The following is a 21,737-nucleotide window of genomic DNA, read 5'->3' on the forward strand; positions in this document are numbered from 1 at the left end:
ATTGGTGATGCACATAAGTCAAACAATAACCATTCCTTAATGTCCCCCTGAAGGGACACAAAATGGTTTTGTGTTCTTGTTTATTTTGACACCTCGATTCTTTCTTTCCCCATACACTATACCTGCAATACTTTACATTCTTTGTCTGTTCTCAATTTCTACACATTAGGCCTTGAGGAGAGTGCTACTACTCTCAAAAGCTTAGACAGTCCATTTTTGGCCCATAAGTAAAAATCAACTTTCCTCTGCTCCGAACTCCCTAGCGCTGTATTTCCATCTTTGATATAGCATTTTATTACTCTCTATCTTATATTGCAAATGTCTTACATTATAAATGTAAATTTTGATCACTAATTTTTGTCATTGTATATCATTATTCCTGTTGTCTTTAGCTGAGTGGCAAACTTTCCCAACAATAATTTATTATTAATATTAATCTTGATGATTAAGCTGCATAGTACTTCTCTAAGGCCTCTCACGAGATTTCTATCAGATGTCCACTGAAGGCTGTTCAAGAGAGCTCGAGCTTACTCACATAGCTGTCAGTTGGCTGAGAACTCAGCTAAGCCTGGTGTCCACAGTACTACAATTGGCTTTTCCTTTGGGGTGACCGATTTGTCTTGGCTTGCCCAGAACATCTCAAATTTAGCACTCAAAATCACATGTCCTGGCAACCCTCACAGTTTGGGACACAGTTTGCTGTTTAGTCACCCACTGCAGCTTAGGCTTCCCACAGCTTAGAGTTTAAGTTCCTTAGAACAGTACCCGCAGTGAGGATGTTCCAATAGGCTCTTACAGAAGCTCCAAGGCTTTTTATTACCTAAATTTAGATATGACATGACATCTCTTCTGCTGTATTTTATTAGTCAAACAAATTCCTAAGGCCAGCTTCAACTCAAGAGGAGAACTAAAGTCCACCTTGAGGGAGTGACAAGGTCACATTTCAGGAGAGTAATTGGAATGAGAGATATTGTTGTGGCCACCTTTGGAAGACACAGCCTGCCAAACCATGTATTACTTAATCTTCCGGAGGGCAGGATTTAAATAGAATTACATTGCTGTTGTATATACCTGCCAGAGTGCCTGGCACTTAGTAAGCACTGGATAAGTGCTAAAAAATAAAGAAACAAGAATATATTTATCCTAAATGCACTATCGTTTCTTACTTGGATTAAAAAATACATTTTACTTGATTTGTGAAGGATTACTGCCTAATTTATGTGGTTGAAAGTGAAAAATTTCAATCAAGACAGAGAGAAAGTTAAAGGGAAAATATCCTAGATAAAATCCATATTTGTTATTCCAAGATCAATGCTGAGCATTCTGGAATATGTCAATGACTTCAGATCTTGGGCAGTGTTTTGACAGAATCATAGGTAATATTTGGAAGGACAGTAACTAATAGTGCTCTTAAGAAACTCAGGCAGTGTACTATCTATGCATCTACAACTACAGGAATCAATAAAAATTAGACTAACAGGGAGCCACCATTTTTGTTTCAGAATTTTGTTTCACTCTTTTGATGCCCTGTGAAGAAGCATACTCTCAAGTTATTCAGGGATCGATACTTTGATGACCCAATGAGACATGTCATCCCTGTAGATAAACAGCCTTTCTCTCTCTTACTTAACATACCTTGGAGGTTATTTTTCCAAATGAACTGTAATAAATCCAAGGCCAAATTCTATAAACAAAATATTTAGTTGTCAATGATTCACAATTATATCATGTGTTAATGTCTCCTAAGTAAATATTCATATGGAAACATTGGCCTTGATATTTTAACATAGAAAATTGGCATTCAATATAGCGGTTTGGGACACTTTTTTTTTTTTTTTTTTTTTTTTTTTGAGGTGGAGTCTTGCTCTGTCGCTCAGGCTGGAGTGCACTGGTGTGATCTTGGCTCACTGCAACCTCTGCCTCCCGGGTTCAAGCAATTTTCCTGCCTCAGCCTCCTGTGTAGCTGGGATTACAGGCATGCACCACCATGCCCGGCTAATTTTTTTGTATTTTTAGTAGAGGCGGGGTTTCACCATATTGTTCAGGCTGGTCTCGAACTCCTGACCTTGTGATCCGCCCATCTCGGCCTCCCAAAATGCTGGGATTACAGGCGTAAGCCACCATGCCCATTGACCACTCTTACAGATCCTTAGAAGATATTTTTCAGGCCTGGGAATTGCTGTGCTTCTCAAATTCTTACACAGAGGCAATTTTAATCTTTGTCAATATATAAGTCCAACTCTATTAGATTCTGAAAAAAAAAAAAAAGTGTAGGTCACAGTTTGCAAGCATCTCTGATGGTTTTTATTACATGGGCCGAAGCACAGAAGTTCAGCTCTGTTGAGTATCAACATTAAGTATATTTTACAGATCCGGATACCCTCTAATTGCTTTAAAATGTCAGGTGTTCCAAGAAGGAGCAAAGGAGCACAGGCACTGGGGAACTAATTGGTATTGGGACATGAAGCTTTTCTAGGTTAGCGGTTTACATTAGTCTCAGGTCAGTAATAACTCAAATTCATTCTCTTCGGGGGCAAAGCGCTCTATGAGAAATCAGGACTGGATGCAGTCCAGGTTCTGCTGGATGGTATGTGAACATCAAAACCAAAGTGCACCTGTCAATTTTTTTACATTAGAGGTTATTCATCATTGAGATATTTAACTTCAATGTTCAAATATTGCATTTTAGGAAATGAGTTTATGCCTCCCCATAGCCAGTTACAAAAGCAAGATCATAGCTATTTATAAATAAATGAAGCTAGGATCAGAACATTCCAGAGACTTCTGCAGAGATGATGCAGGACTGTAAAACAGCTTACTGCTTTGCCTATTCAATGAAGAGATGGCAAGTGAGACTGACACTGAAATTTAAGCCAGTCAATATTTATTGCTTTTGCTTTCAAGAAGCTTACATTCAACATAGGACAAGCCTCTGCTCCTGGGGCACCCTGGCTCCAGACTGAGACATGGAGTCAATTTGATAAGTTTAATCATTAAGAATGTTGAGAAATTTTTAGTAACATATTTATCTCAGTTTATCTAAGACAGCAAGTTCCATGTGCATATGGAAGTGTTACGCATACCTCCTCCTCTACATGCCAAAGTGACTCAGTTTTATCCATTTCATGGAGAATTTTTAAACTGCAGTAGTAGAACCTTATGGGATACTGGGAAATATCTCCCTTTTATCCGTTGCAGCTTCAAATGTTACAACACACAGGAATATAATCCCAAGGCACCAGCTTTATATTTCTTGAAGCATCAATTCAGTAACCTCCCACCTATCTTGCACTTTACTTTTCCTCTCTATATCAAACAATACAGTACTTTTAAAACTATTTCCTATGTGTCTACAAATACTCATAGATAAGAAAGAATAAGATGTAAAATCAGCTTTCAAGTTTTGTGGGTAAATTAAGAAAAGATTAATGCTGCTGAAGATAGGTAAAATTCATAGAGGGTTTTCATTTGAACTAAACTTAATGAGAGATTTGTAGGACTTTTATGCAATAATAGGATCTAAGGAGGGTATTTCCAGTTTAGGGAACAGCAGCAGTGTAATCAATGATAATAGAATACAGTGACTATATAGGCAAATATACTGTTTATTACTGAGACCAAGTGGTTTATTAGCAAGTTAATGGAGTTTGGTTAAAGTAGACTGGTGCCTTATAACAGAGTGCCTAAAATGACATCTAGATATTTAGTCAGGAATCCATAAAGACAGTGGCTGTAAGCAATACGTTCTAATTCTGTGTTAATCAAAAACAAATTTTGGGTAGGATTTTAGTGCCTCAGAGAGTCTAAAAAAACTACAGTTCTTGGCTGAGGAATCATCAAGAACCAGGTGTTCTCCGAGGAGTGGAATGTAGGAACCAAAACTATGTACAGTCACAGGAATAATCTGCTATTGATTGCTACGATATGCTGCAAAAATTTAAGGTCCACCTTTTCTGAATAAGTGGAACTCCAGCAATTTTTAAATCTCTGTTTTTCAGCTGAAGTGTCAAAATATGAAGAGGTTATGTCCAGTTGGTCTATGTGATCATGCTATGCTGTGATTAAGGAGAAATGAGACTATGGTTTATAGCTTGTTTTAGGGATGAAGTAGTAATTTCAATAAAAGAGTGCCATTATGAGTGCTATTAGAAAGATAAAATGGTTAGAGTCAAAAACAACACTTGTGCATTACGAAGGAGTAATTAAGGGCAGACATAAAGTGAAGTGTAAAAATATTAAATAGGTATACTATATGTATAAGCATGTGTATAGATATATACATAAATCTATCTTTTTAAAATTTTAGTTATTAGCATTTGTCTTAACAGTTTATCCAGTAAACTGTTCATATGTGCATTTGACTTTATTATTCAATGCATACAGGAATCTCCTGCACAGTAATGCACTCTATTGATATACAGTAAGTCTTCCCTCAAAGTAGTTCCATATGGGATAAAACACACTTTAATTTTCTCTAATCGAAACTCGTAGTCAGCGTACAGCCTATACATTCAAAGGTTCAGTGTTTCCCAAAGTATGTTGTGTGCTGTGGTTTTAAAGATTGTTGAGTGCAGATAAAGTTGTGCATACAAATGTAATCAGATTTTTGAAAAGAATAAGACATGATATGCTTCCAGAAGATAATAACTACTTTTTGTGACAAAAATTAGCTAAGCATCAGACTCTAGATACGTGATAGGATTGCCCTTGTAGTTCATGGTTAGATCCTATGATAAATAAAGCAATAAAAGTGCGTTTTTCTTGCAGTGTTATTTTTGTTAAACTCCTGCATCTGTCTCCCATTGGTCTTATATGGTATCACATTAGAAATCAGTTTAGAGTGTAAGGAGTTATACTCACTTATTCTTTAGTCACATAGAAGATACTCATCACCAGCCACCATGGCTTATATGCCTGTAATCCTAGCATTTTTGGAGGCCAAGGCGGGTGGAACACTTGAGGTCAGGAGTTCAAGACCAGCCTTGTCAACATGGTGAACCCAGTCTCTACTAAAGATACAAAAATTAGCCGGGTGTGATGGCAGGCATCTGTAATCCCAGCTGCTTGAGAGGCTGAGGCAGGAGAATCGCTTGAACCTGGGAGGCAGAGGTTGCGGTGAGCAGAGATTGCGCCATTGCACTCCAGCCTGGGTGACATAGTGAGACTCTGTCTCAAAAAAAAAAAAAAAAGAGAGAGACATTTATTAAGCACCTGCTTTGTGCCCTGTAGATAACAAAATTGTTGGATTGTGCCCTGTAGATGACAGAATTGTTGGACCATCCCCTGGGAATGAGAAAAGCAAAATGAGAGTTATTTCCCCCAAGAAGTGAGAGACAATTACATAAATAAGACTCATTAGTAAAATATAAGCAATCAAAATGTTTTTTGTACAAGCTTCTGTACAATAAGAATATAAAGAAAAATAAGAGCCTTATTTTGTCAGAAACTTTTATCTGTTGAAACTCCCTAAATGTAGGAGAGTTTCCTAAAAGTAGGGGAAGAAAAGGCAGAAGATGTAATAGAGGGCTTCTATAGAAGCTGCTGCATGATTTAGATTTTTAAGCAAAATTAGATGATTAAAAAAATAAGTGCATCAGCAGGTTAGGTGCAAGTGAAGATGAGGAGGGACGATTGTGCAAATATCTATATCTCACTGTGTTCAGAAAAAACAAAAATGATGCTTTCATATGGTCCCTGAAAATAAGCTAATCATATCCCGAGAAAAGAGATATTATTAATAAAGATGACTCCAAGGCATATTATTATGCCATCTTCAAAAATAGAGGCTTGCAATAGCCAGGAATCAGTCTAGTTTTGTGTCTACCTAAAGCAAATCTTTATGGCAAATGGAAAGGCTGCAGCTGTTGACAGCACAATGGGATGTCTTTGCTTCCAGAAAAACAATTCCAAAGATAGGCTTGTTGCCAACACTACAAGCCTGCTGACACCAGAAAGTCAGGGACAAATGAGAGGTTGGTGTAGTAATTATGGTGAAATCTCTGGGTCTATTCAAACGGCCAAATGTTTTGTTGTTGTTGTTGTTTTCATTCTCTAAACCATTCAGTACATGTGGGAACCTTTTTCTAAGTCAGTAATGTAGGTAGATAACAGAGGGCAAAATTTCCCTGGTGCTGTACTAATTGGATTATGTACTGTGTGCTTAACTGTCAAATGCTGAACCTCCCTTGGAGCTAGAAAATGTTTTCTTCATCAACAACGTGATGAAGACATGAAGATAGTCATGCTTTAGGTCTTGAGGCACTTAGGTTTAAGAAAAGATGCTGAAAAAGAGATTCTAAAGAGAAACTACTTTTCCAGAGTCAAACCAGGAAGATGATTTGTTATAGATGTTATAGATCCTCAAGTGTGAAATGTATCATCATCCCAGTTCTGATTCAATTTATAAGTGAATTCCCACCATACCATCACTGCCCCGAGATCATCTGACCATCGTTCTTGCAAGTTTACTCTCCACTCATGCTCAAGTAGAATTCCTTCACATTTGGGCCAATTCAACTGTCAGAAAATTCTTACTTTATTTGCAATTGACAACCCTTGTATGTATCCTCCACATCTCCACCTATTTCCTAGTCATTGTTCTGCCACAGTATCTTCCTCAATTCAAATATAGCAAGCATAGATAATCAATCACACCTGTCCAAACTAAGCAGCTAATGATCAATTGACCTTACTCACATCTGTAGTATTTTGGTTGTTATTTTGTTTATTGTCTTTTCTTTCTCCTCAGTTACCATATTTCACAGTTTTTTTCTGTGTTGCCTTTAAAATACAGAAACATCTGAGAGTCTCATCGAATAGCTGAGATATACTGAGATATTTGTTAATATATTCTTACTATTTTGGTGAAACTACTAAATTTGAAAAGTACGTAAAAAAAACAAGATTTTCCTCATTCATATGGCTTGTGTAACATTGCAATTTTTCACGACTCAAAGTTCTTTGCATCTTATTTTCACACATAAGCATGGGTTACATTTTGTTGATGGGGAACACATTTCAGTGCTCTTCTTTGTTTTCAAGTAAACTCATATTATTAAAAACAGCAGCTATAAAATATTCTCCATAAAAGATATGTTGAATTCCTAACACCTGGTACCTGTGAATGTGACCTTACTTGAAAATAGGGTCTTCATGTAAATTAAGATGGGTCCTACTGAAGTAAAGTGGGCTCTTAATCCAATGACTGGTGTCTTTATTAAACAAGAGGATATATAATGTAGATTACAACACACACACACACACACACACACACACACACACACACACACACGCACAATGGGGTAACATCATGTGAAGTCACAGACACACAGAAGGAAGAAAGCCCTGTTGCAGCTTAGGCCGAGATCAGGATTATACAGCTGCAAGATGAGAAACACCAAGGAATGCTGGCCACCACCACAAGTTAGGAGAGAGAGCTTGATTTCAGATTTCCAGCCTCCAGAACTTTGAGAGAATACATTTCTGTTGTTTTAAGCCACCGAATTTGTGGTGCTTTATTATGAAGCAATAGGAAACTAACAGAGGGGGAATGGAAATTTACAGGTTAAAAAAGTTTCGCTGCCATTTCTGGTTATTTCATAGAGAGGAAAGCTTGTAACTCAGAGACACCCTAGTTCAAATTCTAGTAATTTCACTTGGAAGCTTTGTATTTTTCCGCAAATTATCAAACTCTAACTAAAACTTAGCTCACTTCTGTTCATAAAGATCGTGATTGCTTCCTACCATTTTTAATATTAAGTAAGATTATGTGTCTTAAAGGCCTAGTGCTTTATCTAGGCCTAAGGAAAGGTAGTATAAACGTAAGCACAGGAAAAAAGAGAAGGATGTGCTCATGGTATGCATTTGCATTACCTATTATAGCTGTTTAAAAAGAAGGTAGACACGCTAGACTCAATAAAAAACAAAAACAAAAAGTAAAATTACTGTGGTTATACAATGTCGTTGGCAGGATTTTCACCATGGTGTTACTCATATGAATATGTTACCTGAAAATAGCAAAACAGACTTCACAAATGTAATTAAGAGTACTAATCAGTTCAGTTTAAAAGAAAGATATTATTTAGATGATCTGATTGAACCCAATCTAATCAAATAAACCTTTCTCTTAGATGAAAAGCAGACCTTTTCCTTAGGTGAAGACATAAAGGGAAGTCAGAAAGACTTAAAGTGTGAGAAAAAGTGAATATGTCATTGCTGACTTGAAGATGGAGGGGTACAAATATCAAAGACATGGAGATCTCAGTTCTACAAACTTGAGATGCCAAATTCTACCCACAAATGGAATGAATTTGGAAATATATCCTTCTCAAACTACTCTTATTAATTTATTATTGTTTATATTTTGAGGCCCTATACAGAAATGTCAGCTGTGTGGTACTCAATTTCTGATCTATAGAATTGTAGATAACAAATGTATGTTGTTAAAAGCCACTAAATTGGTGGAGTTAACAATTTTTTTAGGCAGAATTAGAAAACTAATGCATATAACTATGTAAAGATAGAATAAAGATGATAGTTCTGATTCTCTTTATTGGTTTCTTTTTACTTTACCAGCTTTCTTAATAGATTACATCCACATTTTGAGTTGACTTAAACAAATACATTTCTAATGAAGTTGAATAAGAAAAGTCATGCATTATTTTATCGGGTAGCCTATCCAAATTAATTTGAATTTTCTCTGCCCAATATATTTTATGGAAACACTATTTTAAATTTTAAATTGTTTCAATGGATAATATGAGAAAAAATTAAATAAATTCCATTTACTGCTAGCATTTACCAGCAACCAAGACACAATACCTCAGAATCTCTTAGAATTTCTGACTTAACCAAGTATATTAATTCTTATCCATGGCAGCAATACAAGACTGTTTAGATATAGTTTATCACAAATAAACAGGTATATATATATATATGTGTATATGTATACATGTATATATGTATATATGTATATATGTATATATGTATATATGTATATATATGTATATATGTATATATGTATAAATGTATATATGTATATATGTGTATATGTATATATATGTGTATATATGTATATATATGTATATATGTATATATGTGTATATATGTATATCTGTATATATGTGTATATATGTGTATATATATGCGTATATATGTGTATATATGTATATATGTGTATATGTGTATATATGTATATATGTATATGTGTATATATGTATATATGTATATATGTATATATGTGTATATATATGTGTATATATGTATATATGTACATATATGTGTATATATGTATATATGTACATATATGTGTATATATGTATATATATGCAAACATATATGTACATACATATATACACACATATATATGTACATACATATATACACACATATATACACACACATATATATACATATATATGTATAAATCTCTTTTAAAGTGTGTGTGTGTATATATATATATACACACACACACACACACACACACACACATACATCCCTATAAATATGGGGAAAATAAATAAATGCACTATGGGCACATGTGATCTTTAATAAAGTTAAAATTGGACCTAATCTGAATAAATTAAAATGCTAAGTGAGCATTTTCCTATTAGAAGATTTAGACTCAGAATTTTGAAAGGGGATTTTTGTCTCACAAATGCTTTATTTCAGATATCATGTGTTGAATTTTGAGAGTGACAATTTCATTCCCCTAACCTAGAATCAAGTAAAAAATATAAGCAGAAAATGCAAATATCAACTCATTTCTATTATTATTATATTATTATTGAAAACGCCAAACTGAAAAGCACCTTGGATGTATGGGCACAATCAGGTTCTTTTTCATTTCCTCTGTTTTCAAGCTTGCTCACCAATATGGCTTCCCATTTGATAACTTTTTTCTTTATTCCTGGAGGGAAGAAGTACAGTGAGATTAAGGGAAGGTGGAAGTCTATTACTGTTATTTCACAAAGAACGAAAATTACTATTATATGGCAGAATAACTATCTAGGGTAGAACAATGTAAATGTTTATATTAAAATCTTTAACATTGGCAGAATATCTAAGTTTCATAATGTACACATGTTACTGTGATTTCCAAATTTCTAAAGTAAAATGTAGTTATTATCTATTTTTGTATAGCTTCTATACGGCTATGGCACATTCAGGTCCCAACAGTCTATAACAAGCAGTATATTTGGTTTCAAATGGTATGACAGGTAGCTTCTTTTAGGAAAAAACAAGGTCCTGAGAATTAATGTGAAACCCCAAGATGAGGATGAAGTGGAGAGGCTATCAAGCTTTCAAGAGTAAGATTTTCCATCCTGCCGTTGCATCTGACTCCACAATGTATTATTTCAAAACTTATTTCTGAGTGACCCAAAAAGGCTCAGCTTGACTCATCTTTTGAAGAGAAGACGATTTTCTAGGAGAAGGTTTAATTCATTAACTTCCAGGTCAAAGGAATCTTTATGTAAGCCTTCCAGATGTTAATGTTCTTTTGAAATATTTGAATATCATCCAAGTGAGAACCAGAAATTTGACACAGAAATGACAACAGTAAATTCAGGAGAAATTTTATGTTTCTGAAAATATAGAACACCATTTTTCTCATAACCATACTTTTCCAAAAAAATATTTTATAAAATGGTACAGATATAAAAGGGAAAAATTCAAATATCTAGATACATATAAATATAAGTATACAATCCTGTATGTAAATATGCATTGTTGTTCTGTGTCTACACTACATTAGCCTAATAAAATGAAGGTGTGATCTAATTTACAAAATAATTTATTAGCAGAACATGTGGATAAGTATTGCTTCAATTAACAAAGTAAAGAATTTATGTTCTTGTCCAGCTTACATGATTTGTATAAAACCTTCTTGTGAGGCAGTAAAAGAAAAAGATACAGGAATACAGGGTTTATAATCACCTAAAAAAAGTCATATCCTGTTATTGTCATTTATTTTTATTATTGTGATATTATCCACATTACTATATTATATAACCTCTTCAGGCCTGAGTTTTAAAAATTTTAGGGTAAGATTCAAAAGATATTATCTACAGCACATTCAATTGTGGGCATAAATTTAGATCTGTATTTGCAAAATTCTGTGTAATTTACAATGCAATAATTGAATGTTAGTTTAGCTTTCCCTCCTTTAGGATCAAATAAAATTAGAACTATCACTCTGACCACCCCCAGCATACTATATTCTGTGTTATTTTGTATTTTCTGCCATATCTTAACAGTGTAGTCTGCTTTTTTACTAAAATGTGAGTAGAAAGCATAAATTATTTGATTCATATTTTTATCCTTCATTGCCCACTGCATATAATCCTGCAAGCACATTACTATGTGATGGATAAATTTATTCATTCAACAGATATTTCTTGAAGATATAATATGATCCAAGTTGTGATATGTGCTAATAATACAAGGTTAAGCAATGCAGAGTCATTCTTTCTACTCCTGAGTTGAGAGCTTCAAGATATAATGAAACAAAAATAAATTAATAATAATATTAAAACACCGTTTAGCTTTCTTTCCTAGTATGCAATTTTTTCTTCTATGGAAAATATAAAATATAAATTACATGTTATTCTATTGAGAAAGTGAAGACACCAGATAAAAAACGGTGGCATAGACTAAAAGCATAGGGACAGCAGTATGGTCTCTGACACTGACTGCCTGGGTTCCAATTTTAGCTCTGTCATTTACCATTTGTTTGACTTTGTCCGGTGTATTTAACTTTACAGTCTTTTAGTTATCTCAAAGTAATGAAATGAAGCGAACAAGGAGTAACCTTACATTTTTCTCAGATTATCAGTCATGAGAATCTTCACTTGTTTGACTTTTTTCTTCAAGAATTCCAAGCACTAATATTTAGATAGATATTCTCCAAATACCCACTATGATTTGGTGGAAGCAGCACCCAGTTGGTGTGCTATGTCTAATATGCAAAATAACTATTTTATGAGATTTTAAAAAACTCATAGTTATCTCTTTTGTGGGGAGTGGCTTGTTTATAGAAATTCCATCATGATCAAGCTAGAAAGATCAAGACCTTCCAAACACGGCTGGATATAGTTAACATCATATGTGTAATAATAATAACAATTATTAATCATCCCCAAAACCAGCCTCTAAATTTGTCATTGGTGCAAAGAAGAAAGTAGGTCTCTTCTTTGTAGAAGTTTCCCAATGAGTTCTGATTATTAATGGTGACTTTGAAATTATATTTCACAGAGAGTGGCATCAGTGTTTTAGGACCATGCTGAGTTTTAGAGATTTCTGATGTAGATATTAATCTGAGCCATTTTACATAAAGAGCTCCTTTTTAAAAGTAAACATGTCCTCTAATTAAACTCAAGAAATTAAATACAAATAAAAGAATGATAAAAAATTCTGAAAATATTAACTTTATTACATAAAACTTTTGAGGATATGTCATTTGGGGTATTACAATGCCTTGAATCTGAGCTCTTTAAAAACAAAACAAAACCCCCCAAATTTGTTTCCTTTTTAAAAAATGTGACAATAAAGTTATATAATAAAATGAATATATCTCAATATTTTATTTTCTTATGTTTTTATTTCTCTTAAGAATTATGGCATAAAATAAAAATAATTATTTTATTGAATGGACATTGATAATTTTCTTACGGTATTTTTCAACTTTATTGAAGTAAAATTGACAAAATACAACTGTGTATATTCAAGGTATTTAAAGTGAAATTTTGAATTTTGAATTCATTGTAAAATGATATCCACAATCAAGATAATTAAAACATTTGTATACTTAAGATATACTCTCTTAGGAAATTTCAAGTGTACCTTACATTTTTATTATCATGCAATATGTTAGGTCTCCAGAACTTATTTGTCTTATAACTTCAATTGTGTGCCCTTTGACCAGCATATCCCCATTTTTTTCACCCTTGACCTCTGATAACCACCTTTCTATTCTCTTTTTCTGTTAATTCAAGTGTTTTAGATTACATATTAATTGAGGTCATGCTGTATTAGTCTTTATATGTCTGACTTATCCCACTTAGCATAATGTCTTCCAGTTGCATTTATATTGTCACAAATGACAGAATCTTCATATTTTTTATAGCTGAATAATACTCTACTGTGCACATATAGGTATATTTGTATATATTTATACGTATATATGCATATGTATACATATATATATACCACACATTTATGTGTATGTGTATGTGGGTAGACACACATACACACACACATAAAGATGATCTCTAACTTATAGTGGTTCAACTTACAATTTTTGGACTTTATGATACTGCAAAAGCAATGCACATTCAGTAGAAACTATACTTCAATATAGTATTATTATATATTACTATAAAACAGGCTTTGGATTAAATGATCTTGCCCAGCTGTAGGATAATGTAAGTGTTCTGAGCACATTTAAAGTAGGCTATGCTAAGCTATGAAGTTTTGTAAAAATGAATTTTTGTCTTGGATTATTTTCAGCTTAAGATGGGTTTATCCCCATTGTAAGTTGAGGAACCTGTAGGTGTGTGTGTCTATACAAACACAGACACTCACTATCATATGAGTGACAATTCTTTTTTCATCAATCTTTCCAAAGATGCTTAGGTGTTTTCATATCTTGGCTATTAGAATAGTGCTGCAGTGAACATGGGGGTGAGGATATCTCTGATATTTCTCTGAGTTAGTGATTTTATTTCCTTTGTATGTATGCCCAGAAGTAGAGATGCCACATCATATAATAGTTGTATTTTAAATTTTTGAGGAAACTTCATACTGTTTTTCGTATTGATTATACCAGTTTACACTTCCATCAACAATGTAAAGGTTCTTTTTTCTCCACCTACTTGCCAAAACTCATTATATTTTGACTTTTTATTAATAACCTAAGGGATGTGAGGTAATATCTCATTGACGTTTTGTTTTCCTTTTCCCTAATGATGACTGATATTGAGTAGATTTTTATATATCTATTGGCCATTTGTATGTTTTCCTACGAAAAATTTGAGTTCAGGTCCTTTAATCATTCTTTACTTGGTTTTATAGTTGTTTTGCTGCTGAATTGTACGACTTCCTTATATATTTTGGATGTTAATCTCTTATCAGTTAAATTATTTTTTTGTATTCTATAGGCTTCCATTTTATTTTGTTGAATGTTTCCTTTACTGTACAGAAACATTTTAGTTTCATGTACTTCCAATCATTTATTTTTTATTTTCTCGCCTAGGCTTTTGATGTCAAATCCAAAAAAAAAAATTGTCAAAAACAATGTTAAGTAGCTTTTCTCCTATGTTTTCTTCTAATTATTTTATAGCTCCATGTCTTATGTTTGAACCTTTAATCCATTTTCAGATGATTTTGTGTGTGGTATAAGATGGGGATATTATGTCTTTTTTTTTTTTTTTTTTTTTTTTTTTTTGCTTGTGGATATAGTTTTTCCAGCACCATTTATCGAAGAGACTATCTTTTATCCATTATGTAGTCCTGGCACCTTTGTCAAAAATTAAACATATATGCATGGCTTTACTCTGGACTTTTTTTTATATTCCATTGTCTGCTTTTATGTCAGTGTGATACTGTTTTGATTTCTATCACATTTAAATATAACTTGAAATCAGAAAGTATAGTGCCTTCGACTGTTATTCTTGTTAAAAATTGCTTTAAGGGGTCAGGTATGTTGTGATTCCATACAAAGTTTAGGATTTTTGTGCGTGTGTGAAAAATACTGTTGGAGCCTGATAAGGATCGCATTGGATCTGTTGGGGTAGTATGGACTTTTTCATAGCGTTGATTCTGTTTTTTCAAATTTCTCTTTTAGTTAAAATATATCTACCTAATTCATTGTAGTACATCTGTTGGTACATCTATCTCTATTTTATTTTTTTTTTTCATTTTTTATTTTAGTTTTTATTTTTGAGACGGAGTCTCGCTCTGTCACCCAGGCTGGAGTGCAGTGGCGCGATCTAGGCTCACTGCAAGCTCCGCCTCCTGGGTTTATGCCATTCTCCTGCCTCAGCCTCCCGAGTAGCTGGGACTACAGATGTCCGCCACCACGCCCAGCTAATTTTTTTGTATTTTTAGTAGAGACGGGGTTTCACCGTGTTATGCAGGAAGGTCTCGATCTCCTGACCTCATGATCCGCCCACCTCGGCCTCCTAAAGTGCTGGGATTACAGGCGTGAGCCACTGCGCCCGGCATCTATTTTATTTAATAGAGGTATTAAGGGTACAGCCAGCAAAGAAAAAGTTTAATAATCTCTGTCCTGTATTCACCTTCCAACCCAACTGCAACACCCACTTAGAGAATTCACAGCATTGACTACCAATTTAACACAGAGTGAGTATAATTCTACAAGGCAGACACAGAAGGTCATCAGACACTATACAATTATATGGCATAGAAATAGTGGTTTTAATAAAACTTTTGATTTCTGTTATGTTTAAAGTAATAATTTAACGAACCATGAATTGTAATGGTTTAGAAAATTATTTTGGGTAGACTTTTATTTCTTCTGGTAAAGATATGACAGGAACTAAAACAATAACAAACTCTCTTTAAATGTAGACAATCCTGTGAATACATTTTGAAAGACATAAGAGAAGTAAGAAGAAAAAGTTAAGATTTTTAGAGTTAGGGCATGAACTGCTTCTCCAAGGAAGAGTTGTGATTGTAAGTTTAGTCAAGGGGAAATAACCTGAATTGAGAATGTTCAGTTTATACATATGCACACACACACAAATTGATTTTTTGTATACTTTTGTGAACCTTGTTCAACAAATATTATAATGATAAAACTAATACAAACTATAGACTTAAATTTTTTAAAAAAGTATTTCAGTATGATACAATTATCTTCCAAATAATTACATTATAAAATAGCAAAAATTTTGAGGAGGGCAAGTGGTCAAACTTCTTTCAGATTTTCATTTTTCAAATATATATATACAGGAGTTCTCCAACCAAATACTTTGGGTTTAGATATCTAGTGGTATTTGCTGCCATAGATGGAGGCCTTTCACAGGTGATAGAGGAGATTATTAAAAATACAAAGTGGAGATGACTTCTGAAATGGTAACGTAACATCCAGATAACATCATCTAGGAGGGCTCCCTAACATTCTACCCAGCCTGGACTTGTAGGTTGGAAACTATCCCATTTGTGATAGGCTTAGTAGACTACCGAGGCACTGACCACCATAGCCTCACTTAATGCATAAGGCAGAATTGTATGATACAAGCAAGCTTTAAAAAAAATAGTGCTACCTTACCAGCCTACTGCCTACTTCTAAAGAAGGAGTCATTTTGAGAGATGAACCCCAATCCTAGCTCTGTAGCAGTGGTGTAGTGTGTTTGCCAAGTTGACAGATTGTGAAAGCAAAGAACTCTGAAACTCTCCACAGTTGTAGAAGAAGCAGCTGCTTTCATTTGAAATAGTGTAGGAGGAAGGCTACAACTGAGTGCTCTAGGAAACATAAATTGTGGCAATTAATAAAAGGCTGGGGCGGTGGCTCACTTCTGTAATCCCAGCAGTTTGGGAGGCTGAGGCAGATGGATCACCTGAGGTCAGGAGTTCAAGACCAGCCTGGCCAACATAGTGAAAAAACCCTGTCTCTACTAAAAATACAAACAATTAGTGGGATGTGGTGGCATGTGCCTGTAATCCCAGCTACTCGGAAGGCTGAGGCACAAGAATCACTTTAACCCTGGGGGCGGAGGTTACAATGAGCTGAGATCACACCACTGCACTCCAGCCTGGATGATAGAGCAAGACTCCAGCTCAAAAAAAAAAAAAAAAAAAAAAAAAAAAAGAGATGGTAGCATAATTTGAGCAGCAAGTTAAATTGCAAACCAGCTAGAAATTCATCAGAGAACTAAGGAAAATGCATGGCAAAGAGCCTGCTGGAGGTCACAGCAAACCAAAAAGACTGGCATTAAAGATTATCCCTTTAAAGGGGCCCAGATTTTATTGGATCAGACTGTAGAGCAATTTATGCCCCAGGGAACTAAAAATATATGATGCAATCAGCTGGCAATTAGCCAAGGCTAACCTGGGAGTAACAACAACTGAGGCAGACAATTTAACAGAAAGATCAAGAAAGAGACAGTCAAAGAAACAATCACTCAAATAAACTCACTTGCCATTCCAACGTAACTGTGTAAATACCCAAGTCTGCACTGACTGAAGAATGGCGTTCGAAGAGGAACGTGATGGGGAAAAATAGACTTTGCTAGAATAGTCCAGCAAAGTTGCTAAATGAATAGAGACACAAATAGTGACATTCATCAGTTCTGGAGGTTGTGGGGGAAAATCAGTATCCAAAGTTGCTATAGTAAATTATTTTAAACATCTAGGACTGAAGAAAACATTATGACACATGCAAAGAAACAGAAAAGGGTAACTTATGCAGAAAAAAACGGTAGGCAGCAGAAACTGCCTTTTGAGAGGGCCCAAATGTCAGGTTTAACAAAGACATTTTCCGTTAAGGAACTGTGATTAGAAAACATTGCTGAATAAGTAAACATTTGATGAATGATTGAATGAACAAGTGAGTGAAGCCATCCAACCATGCATTTTGGCCCTTGTTTATGGTGGCTCAAAGAGAATATTCAAGAAAATAACATCTCACAGAATCCAGTGGTTCTAATTATGTTCTATGAGTGGTTCTACTTAAAGAGTAAACTTTTCTATTTTCATAATTTTCAAGAATTCACGGGCATGCCACGGTGGCTCAGGTCTATAATCCCAGCACTTTGGGAGGGTGAGGCAGGCAGTACACTTGAGGCCAGGAGTTCCAGACCAGCCCGGCCAACATGGTGAAACCCTGTTTCTACTGAAAACACAAAATGAGCTGGGCGTGGGGGCACGTGCCTGTAGTCCCAGCTACTCAAGAGACTGAGGCACAAGAATCATTTGAACCCAGGAGGCGAAGGTTGCAGTGAGTCAAAGTTGCACCATTGCACTCCAGCATGGGCTAGGAAGAATAACTTTTAATGATATTTTAGGGATTTAAGACTCCTTTTTAATATGATTAAACCAGAGTTATACCTACATGATATGTTTTAGGTCTTAAATTGTTATAATGTACCTTACATGACATAGCTTTGTTTTTTTTTATTTTTATTTTTTGTTTTGTTTTGTTTTGTTTTGGCTATCCGAAGTAACATATAAGTGACTTTTATTTATATTACATTTATAAATCTTGTGAAGTTAAAATGTTTATATTATTCATTCAAAAATAGTCAACTTTTACTTTGTGCCGAGGTTGTGCTAGCTACTAAGACTGTAATGGTGCCTATATTTGCCCTCAAGCAACTCAAAGCTTAAGGGAGCAAAATAATAACAAAAATGCTTCTACAGTCCATTATTCAAAAGAATGTATATATCTAATTCATTTGATCTTCATAAAATTAACTGAGATAAGTACCATTTACCCCATTATATATACATACATACAGCTATATAAGATATATTTTGCACACTAATAAAAGCATAAATATTCATGTTGCAATGTGATATACACTCTAATAGATATAGGTGATCTCAGACAGGGCTTGTTAGATTGTGTGAAAAGATACATTGAGTCAGAGTTTGGCAATTATGGAACTAGGGTGGAAAGGGAGGCAGTTACTGGAAAGTAAAAATGGAACTTACGAGACTATGGAGATGGTTTTCTTCATCATAATCATTCATCGTCATCATCATCATCATCCCTGGCGTTTATTGAGCCCTCCTTCAACACATGTCCTGCATATTATTAAGTGCCAGATATTAACTCTTTCACTCCTCACACCAAGCCAAGATATAACTACCTCATTTATCACCATTATACAAATAAGAAAAGGGATACAAAGAGACATAACCGTAATTTATATAAACTGACTCTCACAGGAGCATGACATATCTAGGAACTGGTTGGAATATTAAAATAATCACAGGAGATAATATAAATGTAGTCTTGAGTCAGACAATATGTGTTATGCCAAGAAGTTTAAACTTTGAAAAACATGTCATTGATGACTTCAGGAAGAAGCATTTTAGGATTTATGTTTTTAAAAGATCATGTACTGAAAAAATGTGAGCAAGAGAGACCAATTAGGAGAAAATTATGAAATTCTAAGGAAGGAAGGGAGTTGAAATAGTGAGTAGTTATGAAGCTAGAAAAATATATTAAAACCCAATTAAATTTAGCATAGAATTGACAGATGTAATGATCATTTGGATGGCACAGGGTTAAAGGGAAAGAAAGAGGAATTAATGTGGATTACATAGTTTTACACTTGGACAAATTAGTGATGGGGTCACTATCAGAGATAGAAAATGCAGTGGAGGAACAGGTTTGATGGAAGTTAATTTTAGTTTTGAAAACGTTGCATTTTAAATATTTGTGGTAGAGGAATAAAACAAAATTCTAGAGTTGACTAAAGATTTCTTTATTTGAAAAATTAGGCCAAATCATGACTTTACAAATTGATACTCTTTGGAATGAAGACTCATTTTGCCATGATATGCTCCCATTAAATGTGATTTACCTTTAGTTTCTATTAAAATTATGTTTATATTGAAAGTAAGCTATCAAGTACCAGTTTTTTCTTTCTGAAGTATGGTTTGGATTTAGATCTCAACTTTGCTCACACACTCTTACAATTTTGTGAATAGGGCTAGCCTCACCCTACTTTTAAAGATAATAGATGATTAGCAGAATATAAATAGATGAACATTTGATTCTTATGTTTTCTGCTGGGTATAAAGTGGATAATAACATTGTTCATAATCTAATCCATTTTCTTTACATGATTAGTTGTGTTTAATTTTCTCTGTGCAGACAGATTATAAGAGACATTTTAAGTCATATTCTTGTAAAGATAGATAAAGTGTCCATTGGACATATTTCTTTAATTTTCTTTAGGGAGGTGCATCTTTTCCTTTCTCCAATAGACATCTACCCACTTTTGAAGTTCTTTCACTTGCTCTTTGCTTCCTGCTCTTAGGGAACCCTAGTGGTACTAACAAATGTTTAGCAAACAAGCAGTTACAGCATCTTTGTGAAGAATCCACAGGAAACAAATGTCCATGCCAACTCTTATGTAGAATTTCACAATAAACATTTAGAGAGAAGATCTTCTTCAGTAGCTATTTCTCCCTCTCTAACTTCCTAAAACCAAAAAACAGCTACTGGATAGTGAATCTACTTGCATTGCTGGTAGTGTTTTCCTGTTCTACAGACTCTAAGAACAAATGAAATTTCAGATACTTGGTAAAGGGGTGAATTCTATCTGACATAGAGGTGATGCTTTTATATTTGACCAGGAAATGATGTTAAAACATAAACAGATTGTACTTGTGAATGCAGGTGTGTGTGTGGATGTGCATGGGTGCACACACACACTCTCATGCACAAACACACTTCTTTCTCTCTTTCTTTTCCTAATCTATTTAAAACTATCATAGGTAAGTTTAAAACCATAAAATAAAAAATGACATAGGGTAAAACAAAATAATGAGCATATGTAGTTAAATTTTAAAAGTCACTACATTTAACTTTTTTTTAATTTCAGCTTGGAATGTAGGAAAATTTTGTAATTAATAAGTCCCAGTTCAGATTCTTCTGGAAGAAATAAGACCTGGGCATGTTGAATTGGAAAAGTATGTGGGAGGAAGCAACAATAGATTAGAATTAGCTGAATCTACATTTCCTTGAAAAAAAATTCAAATATAGAAAATGTGATGATGAACAATAAGTACTAGTGACTTAAAATTTTGAGAGATAACATGAAGTTATTATTTTTTAAAAAGGAAGGAATGAAAGAGACATTAAAAGAGGATAATGCTCAGTCACTGGACTATCAGAAAATATTTCTTATTCTGCCAGAATAACTAGCTGTATATTAAATCTTTCAAAAATGCCCTCTCTGCATATGCGAAATATCTGTGCATCTTAAATATCCCATGAAAACATTTTATCAGTGAATTTAGAGGTGATCCTAATCTACTAGGCACAGTTAACCGCCAACTCTTTGGTGTGTGTTCTATTTACATTTGTGGTAGGTTTCCATCAGCTGTGTTTATGAGCTTGTTTCTCTTGCTACTCTAAACTCATTCATTGTCCAGTACCATAGCACTTGTCGTATGATTGACTTAATAAATCATAATAGATGCTTGGTGAGTAGATTTTTGAATGGATTCTACCTTTAAAACCTCTTTCTTTAAAAATAGCTAATATACAGCTGTCTAAAAACAAAAATGAAGGAATTATATTTGAATCCTCGTTCTTCCTACCATCCAGTCCATTCCATTTTTGGTAAGTCTTCTCTATTCTAGAAAACATATTGTTAATCAACTTCTTTGTATCTCTGCTCTCTCTCCTACTATGATTCAAACTATAACCATCTTTTTCTGAACTTGTGTTACTTTAACTGATGCTCCTACTTTCACTCTTGAGCCACGTATAATCTTCACACATTTTGAAATATTCAATTTATATCATTTCATTTAACCCCCTAAAAAAGAATTTGAAAAGCCTTTTATTATCACTAGTAGTAAAATGTACATTTCTACGTCTGGAAAATAGGGCTCTGCATATTCAGTACGGCTTATCACTCAGATGTTGCTTTTTACCAATTTCTTCTGTGTTCTCTCTATTATAGCCACAGTGACCTTTCTATGTTCAAATGCGTAAAAATTATTCCTGATTTAGATCTTTGTACTGCATTTTC

The 21,737-nt window shown here is 34.1% G+C and overlaps 1 protein-coding gene across 9 annotated transcripts in view; it reads left to right on the forward strand.

The window, feature by feature from the left end:
- Nucleotides 1-21,737, forward strand: part of LUZP2 (leucine zipper protein 2) — a 585,586-nt gene that overhangs the window by 95,875 nt on the left and 467,974 nt on the right. The gene's annotated exons all lie outside the window — the stretch shown is intronic.

Source organism: Homo sapiens, chromosome 11 (genome assembly GCF_000001405.40).
Source record: "Homo sapiens chromosome 11, GRCh38.p14 Primary Assembly".
Taxonomy (NCBI): domain Eukaryota; kingdom Metazoa; phylum Chordata; class Mammalia; order Primates; family Hominidae; genus Homo; species Homo sapiens.